This window comes from Homo sapiens, chromosome 18, assembly GCF_000001405.40.
Source record: "Homo sapiens chromosome 18, GRCh38.p14 Primary Assembly".
In the NCBI taxonomy this organism is placed as follows: domain Eukaryota; kingdom Metazoa; phylum Chordata; class Mammalia; order Primates; family Hominidae; genus Homo; species Homo sapiens.
In genome coordinates, this window is record NC_000018.10 from 72,837,965 (window position 1) to 72,858,166 (window position 20,202).

The window sequence follows — 20,202 nt, forward strand, 5'->3', positions numbered from 1 at the left end:
CAGGTATCTCTACAATAGCCACACAAAACATTCTCCCTCCCCATCACCATCCCCTATGACAGGTATCTCTACAATAGCCACACAAAACATTCTCCGTCCCCATCACCATCCCCTATGACAGGTATCTCTATGAGAGACCTACAGAAAGAAAAAGGAAACAAGCCTGTCCTCCTTCTTCCTGGTTCCCTCACCCCTCTCATCTTCTGCAACTCCCTAGCTAAGAAAGAGGTTAAAGACAAAGGAGAAAAAGTTTGTACCTTTAGCTGGTGATATCTGTGGTTAACTCTAGGCTTCAGATGAATACATTGTGAGTGGCAGGTATTTACATCACGGTTCTCACTCAGAGGACATAGTTATGTGAGCACTTTGGACTCCTTCCTGACCAATTCTCTTTGACTGACATCTTAAGATGAGTCTTGTGACATCTCTAGGTTTCATCTCCCTGATATGCCACCTGGATGGGCAGGTTCTTTCAAGATGGTTTCAGCAGTGACCACTTGGCTTGTAGGTAACTTATACATTATTGTTAAACCAAGAGGTGGTAGTACAGGCTTGACTTAGTGCTTCCTGCACACTTCTACTGTCATCCCAGGCTCCTCCGCCCAGACTCCAGCCTGTGAAATTTTTCTAGTAAGAAGTGGGCACCATTCCCTTTGCTTGTATGCTTCTAAACCCTAAGGCATGAACTCTCTTGTTGCACTGTTCCAGTGCATCTTGGTGCTACTGGTTCTCTTAGAGAATCCCTAGCCAGGATAAAAATGCTTCTACTCTAAGACTTTGTAAATTTCAGTTTTCCATTTAATAAAGCCTATTGGAAAGTTAAAAGTTAAATATGAAGCACAAACTCATTTACTTAAATTTTATTCAACAATTGTCTTTAGAATTTTAGGAAGTTTTTTTATTTACCTATTTCTCTCAACCGTAAAGTTTTCATTAAAATTTTGGAGCAACAGGGAAAATTAAACTCTGCTATACTCATGATAATTATTCATCCTTCAGGATTGTTTTAGAAGCTAAAACAGATAAAGCATAAATGATCTAAAAAGATTTTGCCCGTTGTTATTATTATTTTCCTACTGTACCACTAAGCATTCACAACCGCTTGACCTTTAACAAATTTAAACTGTTGCTTAATGTCAAAAGAAAGTTAATAAAATAAATGATCAATTTTTTTATCCCAAGGCTGTTGTTAAGAACTGGGTATCAAGGAGAAACTCTACTGAGTATGAAATGAAGAATCTGAATCCCAGTATGAGTAAAAAGAAGCAAGAAGAATTTAAAGTTATAAAGAGTGGGTTTGGATATTAGCTCTCCAGTTATTAGTTGTATCAATGTGCATAAGCCACTTAACTACTCCAAAATTTGAATGATTCATCTATACAACAGGAACACAGGAAAAACGATACAATTTTGTTTTGAAAAATCAAGGGATAAATGTTCTTAAAAGCAGTTTTAATGGAACAGTGAACAATTTTACAATTTTAAAACACTGAAGCTGCAACACTCTTGGATGACAGAAAGTTCTATGCATCTCTTTGAGAACTGGAGGTTTAAGTGCCTAAAGGACTCCTAAGGTCACATGGACAAGTTCTTGATCCAGGGCCTATCAGAACATGGGCTTTGAAGGTGAGATAACTTTCTCTTATTTCAATAAAACTCATTTGCCTCTAAAATGCCTATTTCTTTTAACTGTTGTCACATGAAAGGTGCAGACACCCTCCCTAAGGTATAGATAGAGTGTAAATAGAGTAATATCTACATGAAAGGAACAGAAAAATGGGAAGAGGCAAACTTTTCCTGTGATCCAAATTTTCAAGCATGTTTAAGACATGTTATAAGTTTTTTGTCCTAAATTTAACCACAGCCCTTTGTATTTACCATAATTATATTTTCTGTTTGTCTGCTACTCCTGGAGAAGAGGGACAGACTTTTTATCCATTGCTTCCAGTGCCTAATATACAGTAGGTACTCAATGAACATCCAGTTAATAAATGCATGAACTATAGGAGCTAAAGAACGCTGCGATGCTGTTGGTCAGTTGTTTCTGCCTCTCTGTAGCTTGTCTTATAGTCTAGAAGTATATCCTCCACATTTAATTCCTTTGAAAACAGTATGGTTTTCAGTCTTTGTGAATCCTCATTTAAAATGCAGACTGCCCTAGCTGGAGTGAATAAAAGTCCTCATTATGTAAAATTCCTCATCAGTAAGGATTGGTTGACAGGGACATTCTCCAGTGAGGACACTAGCTCAGAATAATGTCTGCATGATTGAGACACCAGATAAGATTCTGAGGTGAGAACTGAGGAAAAGGAAAGCCTGGCAGACAAGTGAGGAAGTGCAGAAATGGAAGCTACCCACGGGCTCACCACAGTTCCTCCTTTCCATTTGCTACATGCGGGCAGTTAGGTGACCTAGCCCAGAAGCTATCATCCACATGATCAGAGCACTAATTAAAGGCAAACAAACACTGCAACAAACAAATCGCTGAGTGCCAGTCAAGTATCTCACATTTCAAGCATCATCCTTCCAACGATATGAGCAATAGGAGGGCAATTACTGAGGGTGATTTATAAAGATCTTAAAAAGCCTGTTAGTAGCCTAGAGAAATTTTCCACAAATCATGCATTATATAACCCAACAGGAAATTTGAATTTGCTCCAACAGGAAATTCAGAGATTTTTTTTTTTAAAAAGAAAGAACTTCTTGGAAATTATATTCTTAGACTTAACCAACCATTCAGATAAAAGATTGTGGCTAACTGAAGTTTAAAGTAAGGTGAAGTAGGGTAAATTTCCTAGTGAGACCAGTCAATGTTTGTTTTAGGGATTCAGGTAGAGTGACTGATATTAGAAATGATCACAATAGTACAGTAAAGAAAATCTTAGTACACACTAAGCAGAACAGGTGAACGTCAACTATCAGATAGTTAAATGTAAGGCTGTTAACTACCATTTGCAGAGTCCCACTAACCCATGTAGTCTTGAGCACTCTTCTACATAATTTTCAAAAGAGGGAGTTCTTTCCTTGCCCCTATTAGCAGCACAAGCCTCAAGAACAACAGCTGTTTATTTAACTGCCAAGTTTCTGTTTTGGTGACTACTCTTCTTCTAGCTGCTGTTTTGGTCTTCAGGGGAATGGAGAGGAGGAAGCTGAAGCCAGGCTGATGGCCAGACTGTGTTTAAAAAATATATTTAGGAAATGTGTTTTTTGGTATTTGAAGTAATTACCTAACCCAGGTTCTTGAGAAGCTTGAACAAAATTTGCATTGTGGATCAATGACTTTGCTATTATATTTGTGTTTTCTGAGATGGCAGGATGAAATGGTTTCTGAGACCAGTCTATAAACAGGTCCACGGTGAGAGAAGAAGCTGCACAGGATCCTTTCGAACAGGTTACACTTACAGAATCTTATTTAATCCTTGAGAAATTGGATCAAGCAGTATAACGAGCAATTGGCAGAGAAATCAAGCTCAGAAAGGCCATTTTGGCCGGGTGCGGTGGCTCACGTCTGCAACCCCAACACTTTGGGAGGCTGAGGCGGGTGGATCACCTGAGGTCAGGAGTTTGAGACCAGTCTGGCCAACATGGTAAAACCCCCATCTCTACTGAAAATGAAATAATCAGCCGGGCATGGTAGTGTGCGCCTGTAGTCCCAGCTACTCAGGAGGCTGAGGCAAGAGAATTGCTTGAGCCCTGAAGGCGGAGGTTGCAGTGAGCTGAGATTGTGCCACTGCTCTCCAGCCTGGGAGACAGAGTGAGACTCTACCTCAACAAAAAAAAAAAAAAAAAAAAAGTCACTTTATTCTCACTGATGGAGCATGCCCGAAATGGAACAATCACAGGTCCATCTTGCTTTCCAAATCTGCTTTCCTTTATCTGCTGTGTTTGTTTTACTGTGTCACATGCTCTGCCACCTGCCAGCAACAACTACACCAAGGGCTTGTGCCACCTTGAAATTCATGGCCAAGGAAATGTGACTAAGAAAAAAGACATTTAGCTCTTTCTGAAATTTTATGAAAAGGTAAAGCTGAATGATGCTATTTTTCCACTTAGTAAAACAAATAAATAAAATGTATACAGAAGTTTCCTGAGAGGGAGGGAAGATACTGCACTGTATTTGCAACTTTTCTGTAAGTTTAATATTATTTCAAAATTAATTGTTTTAAGGTATGCAAAAATGCAGAGTAGTGCCTGTGGGGGGAAATGTTCAAAATAAAGAAGGCTGAAGTCAATTATTACCTCAGTATTTGAAACTGTTATTCATTTTTTTCCACTAGTTGACAACACATCGATTGAGGGAATTATTTTCCTGTTGTAAATATTATATATTATATGTATACACATGTATGACAACAAAGAATATTATTGTTACGAGTTTCGAATAAACTCATGGGATATAATTTATAAGCACTGTTATTGCTAATATTGATTATTATTTTTGATGGCTAATATGGCGATGGTGATGATGATGATGATGATGCCACCAATGATGAAGTCAATAATACCATAATTAAGGTTTTGTAAATCCAGGGGAAATTTTTGCTTAAATCATGATATAGGGACAATTATTAATGTTGTATCAAAGATGTTAAGAGCATAAAGCAAAGATAAATTCTAGAATCACCGAGAACAACTGAAATCATCCCAATAGAATCACAAAGATTGAACAAATTGGTGTCTTTGAGAAGTTAAGCCTGAAGCCAATAGGCATTTACTTGTTGACAATGGGATAGCTCAACATGTAAAAATCTCAGCTTTGCTAGAGAGATGAATCTGGGTTCTTCATTTAAACATTTTAAGTCTTTTAATCCCAAATAAGGATGGCAATAATACGTCATAGGTATAGCACACCTCATAGGTATAGCATACCTCATAGGTATGCTATAAACTAAAATGAAACAATGCGTACAAAGTGCTTTGAACAATACTTGGCATATAATAAGAGCTCAATAATTCATTACTTTTATTAAGATGAATTTCTTATAACGGCATTTTTAGAAAGCAGAAATCACTGCCTCATTATACCATTATTTCACTTGAATTAATTTTGAGTACCTAATTTATCACATATTATTCTGCTGGAAAATTTTATGGGGAAATTTGGGAGGGGATGTTTTAATCTAATAAAGAAAACCAAACATGCTTGATAAGAAAGAAGTTATTTTTGTAAACATGTAGGAATATGTATCAAAAATGCTTTCCAAAATATTTTACCCGTTCTTATGCCGATCACTTAAATTGTAGTCAACGGTCATTAATATTGTTAACTTTACTGTGCTATGGCTTGCAATTGCAATTAGTGTAAATCCTAGCAGAGAGAATCAAACAACAGATAGAGGAGTAAAGCAAATATTGTCTAAATGACAAGGAAATAACGAATAGAAAAAAAGTTACTCTTTTCTCTACCACCCTCCTTTTTAAAAGCTGAACCAAATGTATTTCCTCAAATCTTGCAGGACATCTGAAATCATCCTGATAATAGAGATACTATGATATTTTCAAAAGTAGGTAGAAATAAATGAGGCCATTCCTAAAAGGAAGCATGACAAAGTTATACCGGAAAAAAAATGAACTACTAAACCCAATATTAGTACATGATCTGGTCATTTCATATGCGGTGTAGCTCATGTGTACCCTTGTGCCTTTCAGAAATAGACCAAGAAAGCTCCTTTTTTGGTAACCAGCCTCAGGAAAGTAGCTACCGCCATAATTCAGAAAAAAACGTCCCTCTGTAGGAGAAAGCTTCAAGCATGGGACAAAAGAAAAACTCTTCCCTTACCTTAAAATATAAAGCGTATTTTTAGGGTCAGTCTACCTATCCCGCCAAAAAACTGGTGCCAATTGGTAACTCGCTAAGATTGTTTGTAAGATAAGAGGCTAGGACTGAATAAAATGTAAAATTCCAAAATACACAACACCGTGTTCTAATTTGCTTAGATAAGCGTATTAGCTCAAACTCATATAATGTTCTATTTTAATATGCGGATGTCTCAGTAGTTGCAGTTTTGTACTTAGTTCTCCAACAAGCTCCTCTCTCCACCTTTTCTGGTCACTATTCTCTGTTTCAGTTCTAAATATCTGACATGCTCACAAAGGTATCTCATTGTTACGTCTCTTGAAACGTCTTTAAAAGCAAACAGAACATTCTTTTATTTTTCCAGCAAAATATATGACATTAACCAACCACCAAATTACTAAGAACAGCAGCCACAGTCGTTTCTACTTCTCTTTCTCAACACACAGACTTCATCTCACCAAATTTTATTGATACCAAGTTTCTTCTTTCACTACATTGTCACAGACACTACTGTAAGATTGCTTCTAACACTTTCTTATTGCATCATTTTTAATTGTATTTTAATCGTCTTATTTTTCTGTTCCTTTGTTCTCTCTCTGCTCAATCATCCACATTCTGATACATCGCACTCTTCCAATGGAGGTCTCAAACATCACTATTCAATTTAAAACATTAATATACTTCCCACACTTTCTAAAATTGTCTGTGAATCACTGGCATGATTTCCAGAGTTGTTCGCAATCTGAATCAGACTTCAGTCTTACCTAACCTCCTCTCCTTTCAAAGTTACACACCTACTTTTCAAATGGTCTTGTCTACCAGATACGCATGAACAGATTTTTTCGTATCTGGCGTCTCACTCATTCTACATGCTTTATTTCATTTTATTCATTTATTCATTCGTTGACTCATTTAGATAGTCATTCAGGTAAATTTCATTAAGCATCAGTTGTGGCTAAACACTGATGAGGCACTGGAAATTTAAAGATGTAAACCGAGGTTGTTGGGTTTTGTTTGTTTTTTTGTTTTCAGGAAGCTTGGTGTCCATATAGAGAAAGAATGTTTGATTGCAGTGCACTTCACAAGGGTGTGATGGAGCTGTGGCTACGTGAGCACGTCACACACCTCATCCATCCTGAGGACACAGTGAGGGCTCTGTGGGAAGCAGCACTGAAGCGCAGGTCTTAACGTGACATCAAGTGTTACCCACTTCTCCTCCAGGTGCACCCCACATTACGCACATGCCATGGCGCTCACCAAACTGGGTATAAACACACTGTAAGCTCAAGAGCAGATGCTGCATCTCAACCATTCTAACATCTCAACATTTTGTATACAGTAATAATTTAATGACCAAGTATGGGTTAATAACCTGTTGTTGAATGAATCTGTGAAATGATGAAGCAGAGGTTTCAATGTGATCTCATGTGACCACCTGTGAAGTAATATAAGTAGCCTGACTGTATCATTAGGGAGAAAAATCCGTAATGCTATCTGTCAAGTGCTGATCCCATGAGAAATCTGGAGCTCTGAGAGATTAAGTCGATTGCTGCTTCTCAAAGTCATAGCCAGAAAGTGGCTGAGCCAGAATTCCACCTCAGACAACCTAGCACTGTAGTCCATGTTTAACTATGTTTCATGCAACTATTGTATATATAACATATACAGTATAGAAAAATAAATGATATATGATAGTAATATTTAATATTATATGAAACTAAAAATCTAAGTTTATACAAATATGAAAAACTGAAGACCTACACAAATAGACCACAACAATGATTTGGCATCTGGTCAGTATGTCTCAAAACAACCGAGCATCATGTAACATATTTTAATGGCAAAACTCAAACAAAATTATTTTTAGTGGAATGTGTATAGTGAAGTATGGCCTCAAATGATTAGTAATATTTTTCCCTTCTGGGGAAGTATAGGTTACAGGAAAATAACTTCAAACCATTGAGAAACTTTTCTAGAACATGGTATAAAAGAATATTTCATCCAAACCATACACTAAATGTGAGATATTGCAAACAACAGAGCAAATCACATGTTTATAATCATATTGTCTTAAATTAAGAGTTGGCCCTTATGGCGTATTACTTTGCAGTCTAGAAGAGAATATATACATTGTTGTTAGAATAGAAAGCTATTTCCAATTCAAGCTAGAGACTGAAAAGTCTAGCACAATGAACATAAATGTCAGTGCCAGCAAGTTTAACAGGAAACTAAATACCCTGTCTATTCGTATAATCACTACATATCTCCTACGCTGAAGGCTCATAAACAGTTCAGATAGAAACTGTATCTGGATTTTTTTCCAGAAAATGTGAGAGCAAACCAAAAAAATAAAGATTGGGGCTGACTGGGTCAAAAGATACAATGTTGATTCAGAGCCAAGAGGAGCAAGCAGGAGACCACGGAAGAGGCACAGCCTAGGAGTTGTCAATAAAAGAGATGCGGCCAGGCGCTGTGGCTCACACCTGGAATCCCAGCATCTTGGGAGGGCAAGGTGGGTGGATCACGAGGTCAGGAGTTCAAGACCAGCCTGGCCAATATGGTGAAATCCCGTCTCTACTAAAAAAATTAAAAAATTAGCTGGGCATGGTGGCGTGCTCTTGTAGTCCCAGCTACTGGGGAGGCTGAGGCAGGAGAATCGCTTGAACCTGGGAGGCGGAGGTTGCAGTGAACCAAGATCGTGCCACTGCACTCCAGCCTGGGCAATGGAGTGAGACTTCATCTCAAAAAAAAAAAAAAAAAAAAAAAAAAAAAAGAAGATGCATAGCCCCTGCTTATGTAAGTGAAAGAAAGAATAAAATGGACAAAATTGAAATAATGTCAAAGGTAAAACACTTATAAACAGAAAATAAGCATATTTGTATTTTTTTATAATCTTTTTTTATTTAAAATTGAGACGCAGATATTACTTAAGGATGATTATTAGGAGAAAGTCGTGTGCACGTGCAAAAAAGCTAGAAATAATTTTCCCACCAGTTAACCTATTATTTACAACAGCAGATCTCTGAAAGACCAGTTCATTTTATGCCCATGGAAATTCTCTCTGTTTTAGATCTTACTTATCATTGCCATGGCAACCCTCATCTGTGCCTTCCTATTTCATCGGGACAGCCACTGACCATTCCACAAATTCTACTTTGTTTGCGCGCCAAATTTGCCAAAGGAAGTACGCATTCCTTTCAGACTGCATGGGCAAGCAAAACGGAAGTTGGAGAATGTTTTAAGGTTGCACTGGTTTTTGTTATCACACCTGTAAAACTGCATTTCTCTCTGAATTACTTACAGAAAACTCTTGGGGCTTTGAAGTGCAAATTTCTGAAGAAAAGTTCCCAGGGAATAGAACAGTCTTCTGATTTGGGGTATGATGAATAGAAAACAGAAGAGAAGTGACATATTTATGACTAATATATCCTCCTGCTTTAAAAAGTCAGCTATAGTTCTTTCGTGGGCACATGCCCTGCTGATTGTGAACAGTCATACTTTAGTGTAATCACTCTGTGATTCTTGGGGTAGTATAGTGGAAGTGAGGTGTCTGAAGGTAGCTGGAAAGGGAAAATGCCATGAGGACACATTGAAGCTGAATTTCAAGCAAGTCAGCAGAGCTGTGGAATGGTGGGAAGCGAGCCAGCTGAGCAAGTGAGAACAGACAGCATAGCTCTTTTGAAGCAAAGGCATCAGGCAAATATGCCATGAAGAGGCAGAGCCTTAAAGAGTGCCAGGTTCTACAAATAGCTATTATTGCCACAAACAAAAACACCACTGTCCCATGCACATCTTTGGGAAGGATTGCAAGTTATTCTGTTGGGGTTTTAGCCATATTTATGCATAAAAATGGCATTCATATAAAATCAGATGATATAAAAAGATATACACATACAGTTATCTAGATATAGATTTTTAATCTAAGTGTAGGAAAGTCCAGAACGGAGAACTGTGTATCCTGCATTTGGTGCATTTGGAACGAAGGTATTTTCAAAGTTTGGACTGGTAGACCCAAATTATTATGTTCTCCATCCATCCACCAGTAAAACCTTACATTGTTTATTTACATTCTGTATCACTCCTCAAAGTGATATGAAGGCTGAAATGTATCTCACTGAGGTAAAATCACAGTTTTAGCAGAGCTGTGTTCCTTACTACAGGCCCTAGGGGAGAATGTTTCCATTGCCTTTTTCAGGATCAAGAGACTTCCCACATTCCAGGGCTAATGGGCCTTTCCATATTCAAAGCCAACAGAGATAATTTGAGTCTTTTTCACATTGTGCCTTCTGGCACTGACACTTCTACTTCCCTGTTCCATATTGAAGGCTGCCTATATTACACTAAGCCCTCCCAGAAAAGCCAGGATAATGTCCCTATCATCAAGTCAACTTGATGGCGACATTAATTTCCTTTTGCCATGTAACATAACATATTCACAGGCTCCAGACTCAAAATGCAGACACCATTATGTGTCATTTTTCTTCCTACCAATCCTAAATCTGGCCACCAAGATTCATATCAACCCCACAGATGAAATAAATTCACCCATCCCATGTTGCCCAAAAGTCTCAACAGCATCAACTCAAAGTCCAAATTTCATCAGCTCAAAAGTCCCACATCACACCATCTACATCATTAAAATCAGGTATGAGTGAGGGTCTGGGCATGATCCACTCTGAGACACAATTTCTCTCCATCGTTGAGCCATAAAATTCAAGAAATATGTTACCGGCTCCAAAAACACAATGGTAGGGCAGGCAAACAATAACATCTATGGATATTCCTGCTCAAAATAAGAAAAAGTAGAAGAATTTAAAAAAGAAAGAAAGAAATTCACCAGTTCCAAGCAGTTGTGAAATACAGTTGACAAATTCCAGTTGGTTTCAAGGGCTGAGACTGTACTCTGTCATTTGAGCTCTACCTTCTGGACTTAACTCCCCACCCTGTGGACTTGAGGTTTCTGCCTCCTGAGTCAGCCTACTGACACAGTAGCACACCTGCAGCTGAATAGTTACATAAGAATGTTTCTTGCTTGTAGGCATTTGAAAGTTCTGACGCCCTTTTTCCATTTCAATCTTTATATCTGTCTCCTTTAGTTCAAGATGGCAACCTTTATGCTGATGGAACATTCTCAAGAACCATGTGTGTCTCCTGTGTATGTCCTCAGATTCACTCCATTAGCCAAAGATTTTCTTCATAGAATTTTTTTTCTAGATAATCTCATCCTATTTTTGGATTCTGCTGAGATGACTGACTGAAGAGCTTTATGAGTCACACTCCTAATCATTTCAAAGAGCCTTTTGTGAGACTGAATTCTCTGATCTTTTGATCTTTCTAGGGGATCAGCAAAAAGTTGTCCAGCTCAGTTTATTCTCTAAGGCATGCTTTTCCAATCTCATCCAAGGGGCTTACATTTTAATTGACAATAAATTCCTTAAAGTTAAATATCCAAGTTAATTGCATAATGTTCTGCTTTTTTATTTATCCATATAACTCCAGGATATAATTCTACTAAGCTTTGTGATTCAACATAACAGATATACCCTTTCCGTCGGTTTCCAAACACATATTCCATTTTCTGTTGAGCTGTCGTCATCAGCACCTATAAACTTCATACTTCCACAAATAGTCTGTTGATGAAGATTTAGGTATTCTTTAAGACATGCATGTTTTCTCTACCATGCTTCTCACTTCCTTCTGTGTCCTTGTGCCAGAGTCAGTAAGATTCATATTTCTACTAACAGTAAGTTTAAGGCAATATAGACGTTTTTCTAACATGCTTCTCAAAATTCTTCCAGCTTTTGCCAACTGCCTAATTCCAAAACTATTTCCAAATTTTAAGGTTTTTATTTATTTATTTTACTGTAGCACTTCACTTTTAGGAAATAAAATCAAGTATTTGTTTCTTATTTGTTGCTTTAACAATTACCACAACTTAGAACCTTAATAAACAACAGGAATTTATCTCTGGTTCTGATGTCAGAAATCTGAATGGGTCTCACTGGCCTAAAAATCAAGGCATTTGCAGGGCTGTGTTCCTTTCCTTGGAGGCTGCAGGAGACAAGTCATACCTGGTCTTTTCCGTTCTAGAAGCTGTCCACATTCTTTGGCTTGCTGCCACTTCATCCATCTTCAAAGCCCACAATAGCAGCTGGAGTGTTTCTTACATCCCATCACCCGATCCTGACCCTACTGCCTCCTTCGTTACATACTGAGAAAGCCTTGTAATTACACTGGGTCCTCCCAGATAATCCAAGATAATCTCCCTTTATTAAAGTCAGCTTATTAGCATTATTAATACAACTTTCCACCTTCACATCTCTTTGCCATAGAACTTGACATATTCATAGATTGCAGAAATTAGGACATAGACATCTTGTGGGGAGGGTATATTATCTGGCTACTATACATGGCTTCTAGTTTTTAACAGACTATGAACTCACTGTATGAAAGCTAGGGTCTTGCAGATACTATATTTCTACAGTGTTAGCATAGTGGATCAATAAACAGTTGTTAAATAAGTGTAGGTGGCTAATATCACCTAGTAGAAATCAAGGTCTTCTGTGCATTCACTTTAAGAATATTAACATGAGTTATACTCAAGTAGTTGTAATGGCATGCAAATTATAAAATATAATAGGAAAAATGTTTTGGTCTAGACAAAGAACACTATGGGTTGTTTATAATTCCTTGATTTAGTTTTCAAATAATTAAATAAAAATAAGCCTCAAATTGTCTGCAAATTGTTATGAAAGGAAATGTTTAGGAGAATAAATAGACTCGTCAATATTTTCTTAGGAAAAATATACAGGGCTTTAGTAATTTGAAAAGCATGTTTCTTGAATACAATAATGAGTTAAATGTTAGTCAGAGATTTCAGAAGATTTTACCAAGAAGCCCAGTAACTAAAGACATTGAGATGCATGAAAGTTCAAAATGGAGATTGAGTGTAAGAATTATTTATTTGTTTTGTTTTTGTCATGTTTCTTGAGTTTTTCTCTTGTCAAGTGATACAATTTATCTTTAGGGAAATTTAGTGAGGGGTGTGGGTGCTGGTCATTTGATGATGGGATTCGACATAGAGGTAACCTTAGGACTGACCCAAGCAAGGCCTCTACCATTCCATAAAACAACATTTTGTAGATTAGCCAACAGTCCCACTTCTGGATGGAGCCCTGCTCTGGGGAATCTGAATGTGCATGGAACGAGCTCATTTCTGTGCTGCAACTGAGTGTCTTTCCTGTGTACTGCTGGGATCAGCAGCCCTGAATAGAGGGATGGAGTGGGAGGTGAGCGAAAGGAACCGGCATCACAGGAAAAACCCAAAGAAACCTGGGTGTTAGGGAGCAGGAAAATTCGTGGGAGATCGGCCGGGCATGGTGGCTCACGCCTGTAATCCCACCACTTTGGGAAGCCCAGGCTGGCGGATCACCTGAGGTCGGGAGTTCGAGACCAGCCTGATCAACGTGGAGAAACCCTGTCTCTACTAAAAATACAAAATTAGCCTGGCGTGGTGGCGCATGCTTGTAATCCCAGCAACTAGGGAGGCTGAGGCAGGAGAATTATGTGAACCCGGGAGAAGGAGGTTGTGGTGAGCTGAGATTGCACCACTGCACTCCAGCCTGGGCAACAAGAGCGAAACTCCCTCAAAACAAAAAAAGAAAAAAGAAAGAAAGAAAACAAAATTCGTGGGAGATCTAGGAGAAATAAACTAAAGTTTTCCCCTTGAGTATTTAACATGTGAGCCACAAGTTTCAACTAATGAGAGCACGGTACACACAGAAGACTATGTCAGTAATAATAGGTATTTGAGAAGAACAGGAAATGAATCATGCACTTTAGGCTCAGATGGGTTGAGAAGGCACAATTTTACAATTGAGGTAGAAGGAGAGACGAAAAACCATCCTTTCTTTGGACATTGCGAGTGGAAAAACATTTCAAACAACATGGAGAAGATGAATTTTAAAATCATGTATCAGTTAATGGTGAAACGCGGGTGATATATATAGTATTATCCCTTAATTAAATTTCTTAATATAACCGTACTAAAATTACTTGCAATATGTGATGTAATTAAAGTTATAATCTCAACACTTTGTAGAAGGTGTATCAGCACCGTGCTTATATAACTGATACACAAGTAGTAATTTAATATTTACAGAGTACCTGAACCCAGGCCACACATTTTCTCTAGCACTCTGCTCTCTTGATTTTTAAGTAGAAAGGTTGAAGGAAATAAATTCCAAGGTCTTTTCTAATCTAAGGAAAACATATATCAATAATGGAAATATATCTAGGACCCCATGTGTTCCAATCTCAGATGTACTCTATTTAAAACATAGTCCGGCGATTAGCCGATAAATAAATATAAACACACTTAAGTACTCTTCTTTTCTCCACCTCTCCAGGAAACAAGATGAGGAAGACACCTTTCTTCCTTTTCATGTTTGTTTGTTTGTTTGTTTCTTTTTGAGATGGAGTCTCGCTCTGTGGCCCAGGCTGGAGTGCAATGGCATGATCTCGGCTCACTGCAACCTCCGCCTCCTGGGTTCAAGTGATTCTCCTGCCTCAGCCTCCCGAGTAGCTGGGACTACAGGCACATGCCACCACGACCGGCTAATTTTTCTGTATTTTTAGTAGAGACAGGGTTTCACCGTGTTAGCCACGATGGTCTCCATCTCCTGACCTCGTGATCCGCCGGCTTCAACTTCCCAAAGTGCCGGGATTACAGGCGTGAGCCACCGTGCCCGGCCGGAAGACACTCTTTCTTTATGGGAAACTTCTTAAAAATCTTCCTTTTCCTTTGCCACTGCTTTCAATATTCTCTGCACAGATGGGAGCTAATCCTGGAAATTTTCTCTCCCACTCTCAGCTTTTCTCCTGAACACCCACCTAGACCAAACAAGATTTCTGTCTCTCTTCATTCCTCATCCCTCCTCCTGAGCCCACTATTATACAGATAAGGTAAGCCAAGTCATGGACTGGCCAGAAAAGTGAGAGATGGAAGAAATCACCTTCACATGAATATCTTGATTATTCAAAAATATCAATACATTGATAATTTTCTTTTTCTTTTTTTTTTTTTTTTTGAGACAGGGTCTTGCTCTATTGCCCAGGCTGGAGTGCAGTGGCATGATCTCAGCTCACTGCAACCTCTACCTCCCGGATTCAAGCAATTCTCTCGCCTCAGTCTCCCGAGTAGCTGGGATTACAGGCGCCTGCCACCACGCCCGACTAATTTTTTTGTATTTTTAGTAGAGACAGAGTTTCACCATGTTGGCCAGGTTGGTCTCAAACTCCTGACCTAAGGTGATCCACCCGCCTCAGCCTCCCAAAGTGCTGGGATTACAAGCATGAGTCACCGCACCTTGTCACACATTGGTAATTTTCTCAGTGCTGTGATTCTCTGTGATTTTCAAGTTTTTAAATTCATTTCTTGAAAAATATGCCTCAAGAATAAATGTGATTATGCTCCTTACCTTTTCCATTTAAGAGCCTCTGCTAGGGCTGAAATGAGAATATTTTGAGTCAGTAGTATAAACAGAACATTCAGGTTGGTGCAAAAGTAACTGCAGTTTTGCCATTAAAGGTAAAGGTGATGGCAAATCCGCAAGTACTTTTGCACCAAGTCATAGTTAAAAAGACAACACATACTGACCTAAATTTTTTCAATCTTTTATTTTTATGTGGAAAAAAAAATCGAAGTCCTTCTTTTAGCTGGATGTGGTGGCTCACGCCTGTGATCCTAGCATTTGGGGGGCTGAGGTGGGCGGATCACTTGAGGCCAGGAGTTCAAGACTGGTCTGGCCAACATGGTGAAATCCCATCTCTACCAAAAATATAAAAATCAGCCATGCGTGGAGTTGCATGCCTGGAATCCCAGCTACTCAGGAGACTGAGGCACGAGAATCACTGAAACCCGGAGGCAGAGGTTGCAGTGAGCCAAGATCGCACCACTGCACGCCAGCCTGAGCAACAGAGTGAGATGTCAAAAAAAAAAAAAAGAAAAAAGTCTTCTTTTAATCTCAGCCTTTAAAACTTTCTAATTTTTCATATTTTTGTGCAAAATTTAAATGAAACTTTAGTTGTTGAATAAATAATACGAAGATTTTTTTCTTTCTTACCAGAGCACCTATCAGAACTCTGATTATCTAGCTAAGAAAATTTAGAAACTTTCGAAATGGTTAATACATATATATTCACGTTTCTGATCCAAAGAGGAAAAATATTGCACCGAATATTTGAAATAACATTGAATCCATGACAATATTTTATTTTAATAATATATTTCATTTAATATGCATAGAAATCCGTTTAAAACACTCCATTTAAATCACTGCAGTGCAGTGTATTTCTCCCTTTGCCTTTGAAGTCCATCAAAGCATGCAGCTTGAGAGGTGGCTAGGAGTTGGGCAAAAAGTCCCTAAAACACTTTGAGCTCCCCAGATGAAAGGTGCTATTTAAGTACAAAATATCGTAATAATTTCAATATATTTAACAACTCCACTCACTTCAATGTCAATGCCTAACTCAGTCCTCACCTATTTGGTACTTTGAGGTCTATTCCTTAATTTCAATTTCTCCAGTGGGATGTGTGTAACTTTGTTCCTTAAAACTAGTACAGGAAAACTATCATTGAAAAGGAAAAGTCCATAAACATCCCATTCTATGTCTGTAAATGACAGAAAATCTCCCCACAAGGAAGTAAATTATAAGACCAACAAAAGATACCTGTCATTAAAGAGACTGGAAGGGCCACCTTCTCCAGGAGCAGAGCATCTGAATGATCTGGGTCATGCCAGTGGAATGAGGAGTACAGTAGATACTGTTACATTTTCTTCCTTACATTTTCAAGTGCAAAGAAAATTTAGGCAAGGCAGTTGGCTGCAGGGAAGTGTTATATTCTGCTCAAAAGGCATTCTTAGTTTGAGTAAAAAAGTCTGTGAAATATGGAAAGTGGTATTCCCTCTTCTAAAAATTCATTAAATATTATCAAGTATAGTCTTTTCTATTTTTTTGTTTTTTGATGTTAAATAATTTATACAAGTAATACCAAAATATCTTATTCTTTCAAAAATTAAAGCATTATCAATAAAGTTGAGTCAATTTTTACTCCATCTTGGCCTCTAAAATCCTCCTTATTCCCCTCTTCCTGCTATCCCTTATCTGAGGTAACCGTTATTGTTTTAAATTGCTTTTATCACAACATATTTTCTAGTCATTTGATTTTATATACCAAACTTGATTTAAAACTTGTTTAAAGACTCTTTTTAAATGAGAAAACAATATAATTCTAATACAATAAACACTTTTGATATGTCTTCTATTTTTTATTAAATTGTTTGAGTTATCAAATATTCCATGGCGTAACTTTTAACATTCTTGGTGATTCTGCACTTATTTCTTTTTCTGAACTGGGATAGCATATTGCAGAGGAGAGGCTCAGTACACAGAAAGAAGAGAACTCTTCAGGGCATCATCCACAGGGTGCTCACAAGGCTCTGCGCCCCCTGGCCCTTCTACAAGCCTCACTCTTATCCTTTGAAGACCCAGGATTTGAACCAGCTGATTTCTCCTTGATTACTGCTCAATCTCACAATCCTTCTTATGCATGCTAGACTATAATCCTAGGTGATTCACCGCTGCACTGTGGACCTGGGTAATGACACAGTCTGTAAAAATAACCGTCAGCAAACCAGAAAGTGAGGATTCATCAAAATGTGCCAGGAGAAAAAGAAGGGCCTCCTTTAAGCCCATTTCTATTCTCTCTCGCTCTGCCTCCGTATCCTCCACATCCGTGCGGGACCTCCAGTTGGGCTGTTCCCACGTACAAATGGGAATTCAGAAGCACAGCTACTATGAACAGCAAGAGCTTGGGACTGAAAGGCTATTATTTTAAGTTCAGTAGGAAAGAAAGTCATAGACTCAGATACAAAGAAATAGAAAAAAAATTCTGGCGATAAAAGCCTACACAAATTAGTTTGCCAGTCAGGCAAGATGGAACCAGGAGACTGGACACTGGGACCCATGGCTGTGTGGGGGCTAAACCACCATTGGAAGAAACAACCTGTGTTAGGAAGATGAATTATCAAACCTTTGGTTCAATATTTATGAAATATGCATGCTATACATCTCAACTTCAATACCTGGATTCCATACTACTCTGAAGTGTTTTGATTATAATCTGTCCACCCAGGTATGTTTGCTTGCAGGAAGAAATGGACTTTGTAATACTCAGAATTCTTAATGAAAATGTATATGTGTATTTAGTATGTATACATATGTATAAATATTGTGTATATATGTATATTCATTCCTGTTAGCTTGGCAAATGTGATTCATTTCTAAGAGATGGGTACACTCTCAATGTGTTTACATAAAGTTTCTGAGACTGCGAGATTACATCTAGATTCCAGATTGTGATAAATTCATTAAAATAATAGGGACCACCAGGCCTTTCTGCTGCTATTACTGCCTTGACATTTTCTATGACTGACATTAGAAATAACTACAACTCCTACTCGGAAGTCTGGGCTCATCTAAAGTAACTAAATTTCATAGACTAAAAAAAGTGACGTAGTATAGGTAGGAATTTTGTGCACCCACCTAAAAATTTCAGGAACTGTTTTTAAGTCTGAGACACTTGTTTTCCCAATAACCTGTACCAAGCATGCTTTGTTTTTAAAAAGCACATGATAAAACTAATAAAAACAACAGCTATCGATAGTTGAGTTCTTACAGGCACTCAAGAAATTCATAAATATGCATTTGTTAATTGTCTCAAACTATTCTGTGAGTTGCTCAATATTATTTTTATTTTATAATTAAAAATATTGAGAGATAGAATATAAAGGACCGTGTTCAAAATTTACGTGATGCAAAGAAAAGAAAAGCCAGAACTGGAAGTCAGATCTAGTTTCAAATTCAGTGCTCCTCGCAGCTGTCCTGGAGACCATCATCTCTCTAAGATGAACTGGTAGGCGGAATTTCATCTCCAATGTGAGTTCACTGCAGAGCCCTGGCAATTCTCGTAACGCTTCATAACATAAATCATTAAGCTGACTTGAGAAATTCTTCCTCCTTCAATTTCCCCAGGTCACCAGTTGAATGACACTACTAAATAAAAATTAAGCCAAAATGACAACTATAGCCTGCCTGGCTTCAGATTCCCTAAATGCTATCTAAATTATTACTAATCCCTTCCCACTTCCTATTTCAATAAGTAATTGGCTTCCTTAATACTGCCTCTTTCTAGAAGAGGTGTAGATGGTTACGTCACTCAGGCAATGGCCTTGGGCCACACAATGTCAACTTTTGCTGTCATGTAAGTTTTCCAAGTCTCCTTTTTATGGTCCTAGCTTTCCCTCATATGCCAAATGTAGGTTTCCCCAGAAGTTTTGCTCTAGTTGATCTGAGTAAAAACAGAAGCCTCAGCCCATCCTTAACCTGTCCTACTTCATGGAAAAATCTCCAAGAGTTCCGTTCTGATTCAGTTGTTCGCAGCAGTGAAATCTCATTCTATAAATGCAGTATGGTGGCTCTAAAGAAACAAAAAGCAAAGAACAAAACCCAGGGAACAAAAAGGTTTTTTAAAACCTAGAAGAACAGATTGGGTGCCACCATTTATGTCATCTCAAATAGAGCCAGAAACATGGATAGCATTGCTTATGTTGACAAAGCATGACAGCTGACACTACATTCTTTGTGAAACCACAATTTTAAATCCAAGACATTATTTTCATGATCACCAAAACCAGAATGAAAATATAACTTATGAAACCTAGAACATGCCGTATGTCACTGTCTCTAGGTACAGGTTATATTCAAAATTATCAGTTAAGAAAAAAATACCTACCTTCCCATTTACAACTCTAGCACTAATAATCTGAACAAACAAATTAAGCTAACATTTGTACCTTTTGGGAATACTTCAAATTAGTTCGACTGTAGCACATGAAATACCCATGATTTCTGTGAGTAATCCATTATCAGCAAAGCATAATTAAAACCACAATCCTTTAGTGATATTATTAAAAACATTCCTAATGCTTAAAGCTAATATATATGCTACAGTAAATACTTGATTTAACATACCCCATGATGTCATAATGAAAGTCATCATTAAACTTATATTAATAATTTTTAAAATTTTAGTTTTTTAACTGAGTATCAAAGCTGTATTTAGATGTTACTTCTTTAACATGGAATACAAACTTCAACCAACTTTACATATATTTGAAATTATGCTATTGCCTAACTTAAATAAAACAATACATACAAACTGAAAACAAACTATATAAAAAATGGGCTTTATGTAATTTGAATCATTTTTCCATTTAAATTAATGCATGTAGTGTTCTTGCAGTGAAAAAATGTGATATCCTATTTTTATTGTAATGAATGGT

At 37.7% G+C, this 20,202-nt stretch overlaps 1 protein-coding gene and 1 non-coding gene across 15 annotated transcripts in view, besides 1 other annotated feature; both read right to left on the reverse strand.

The window, feature by feature from the left end:
- Window positions 1-20,202, reverse strand: part of NETO1 (neuropilin and tolloid like 1) — a 125,674-nt gene that overhangs the window by 95,651 nt on the left and 9,821 nt on the right. The window contains exon 5 of one of the 14 annotated variants that reach the window (XM_017026023.2): window positions 18,591-19,337. The exons of the other annotated variants lie outside the window; for them this stretch is intronic. Within the exon in view, the coding sequence (XP_016881512.1) occupies window positions 19,249-19,337 (89 nt within the window). The 3' untranslated portion in view covers window positions 18,591-19,248. Of the gene's footprint in view, window positions 1-18,590; window positions 19,338-20,202 lie in introns of those variants that run through there. 14 annotated transcript variants of the gene reach the window in all.
- Window positions 10,555-11,056: an enhancer, noted in NCBI's record as "NANOG hESC enhancer chr18:70515754-70516255 (GRCh37/hg19 assembly coordinates)". NCBI's record gives its function as "activates a minimal SCP1, AML or CMV promoter by ChIP-STARR-seq in primed H9 embryonic stem cells {active_cell/tissue: H9 hESC(primed)}" and the evidence as "EXISTENCE:reporter gene assay evidence [ECO:0000049][PMID:30033119]".
- Window positions 15,357-15,418, reverse strand: MIR548AV (microRNA 548av). The gene has a single exon (NR_049858.1). It is a non-coding gene; the product is annotated as a microRNA 548av (primary transcript).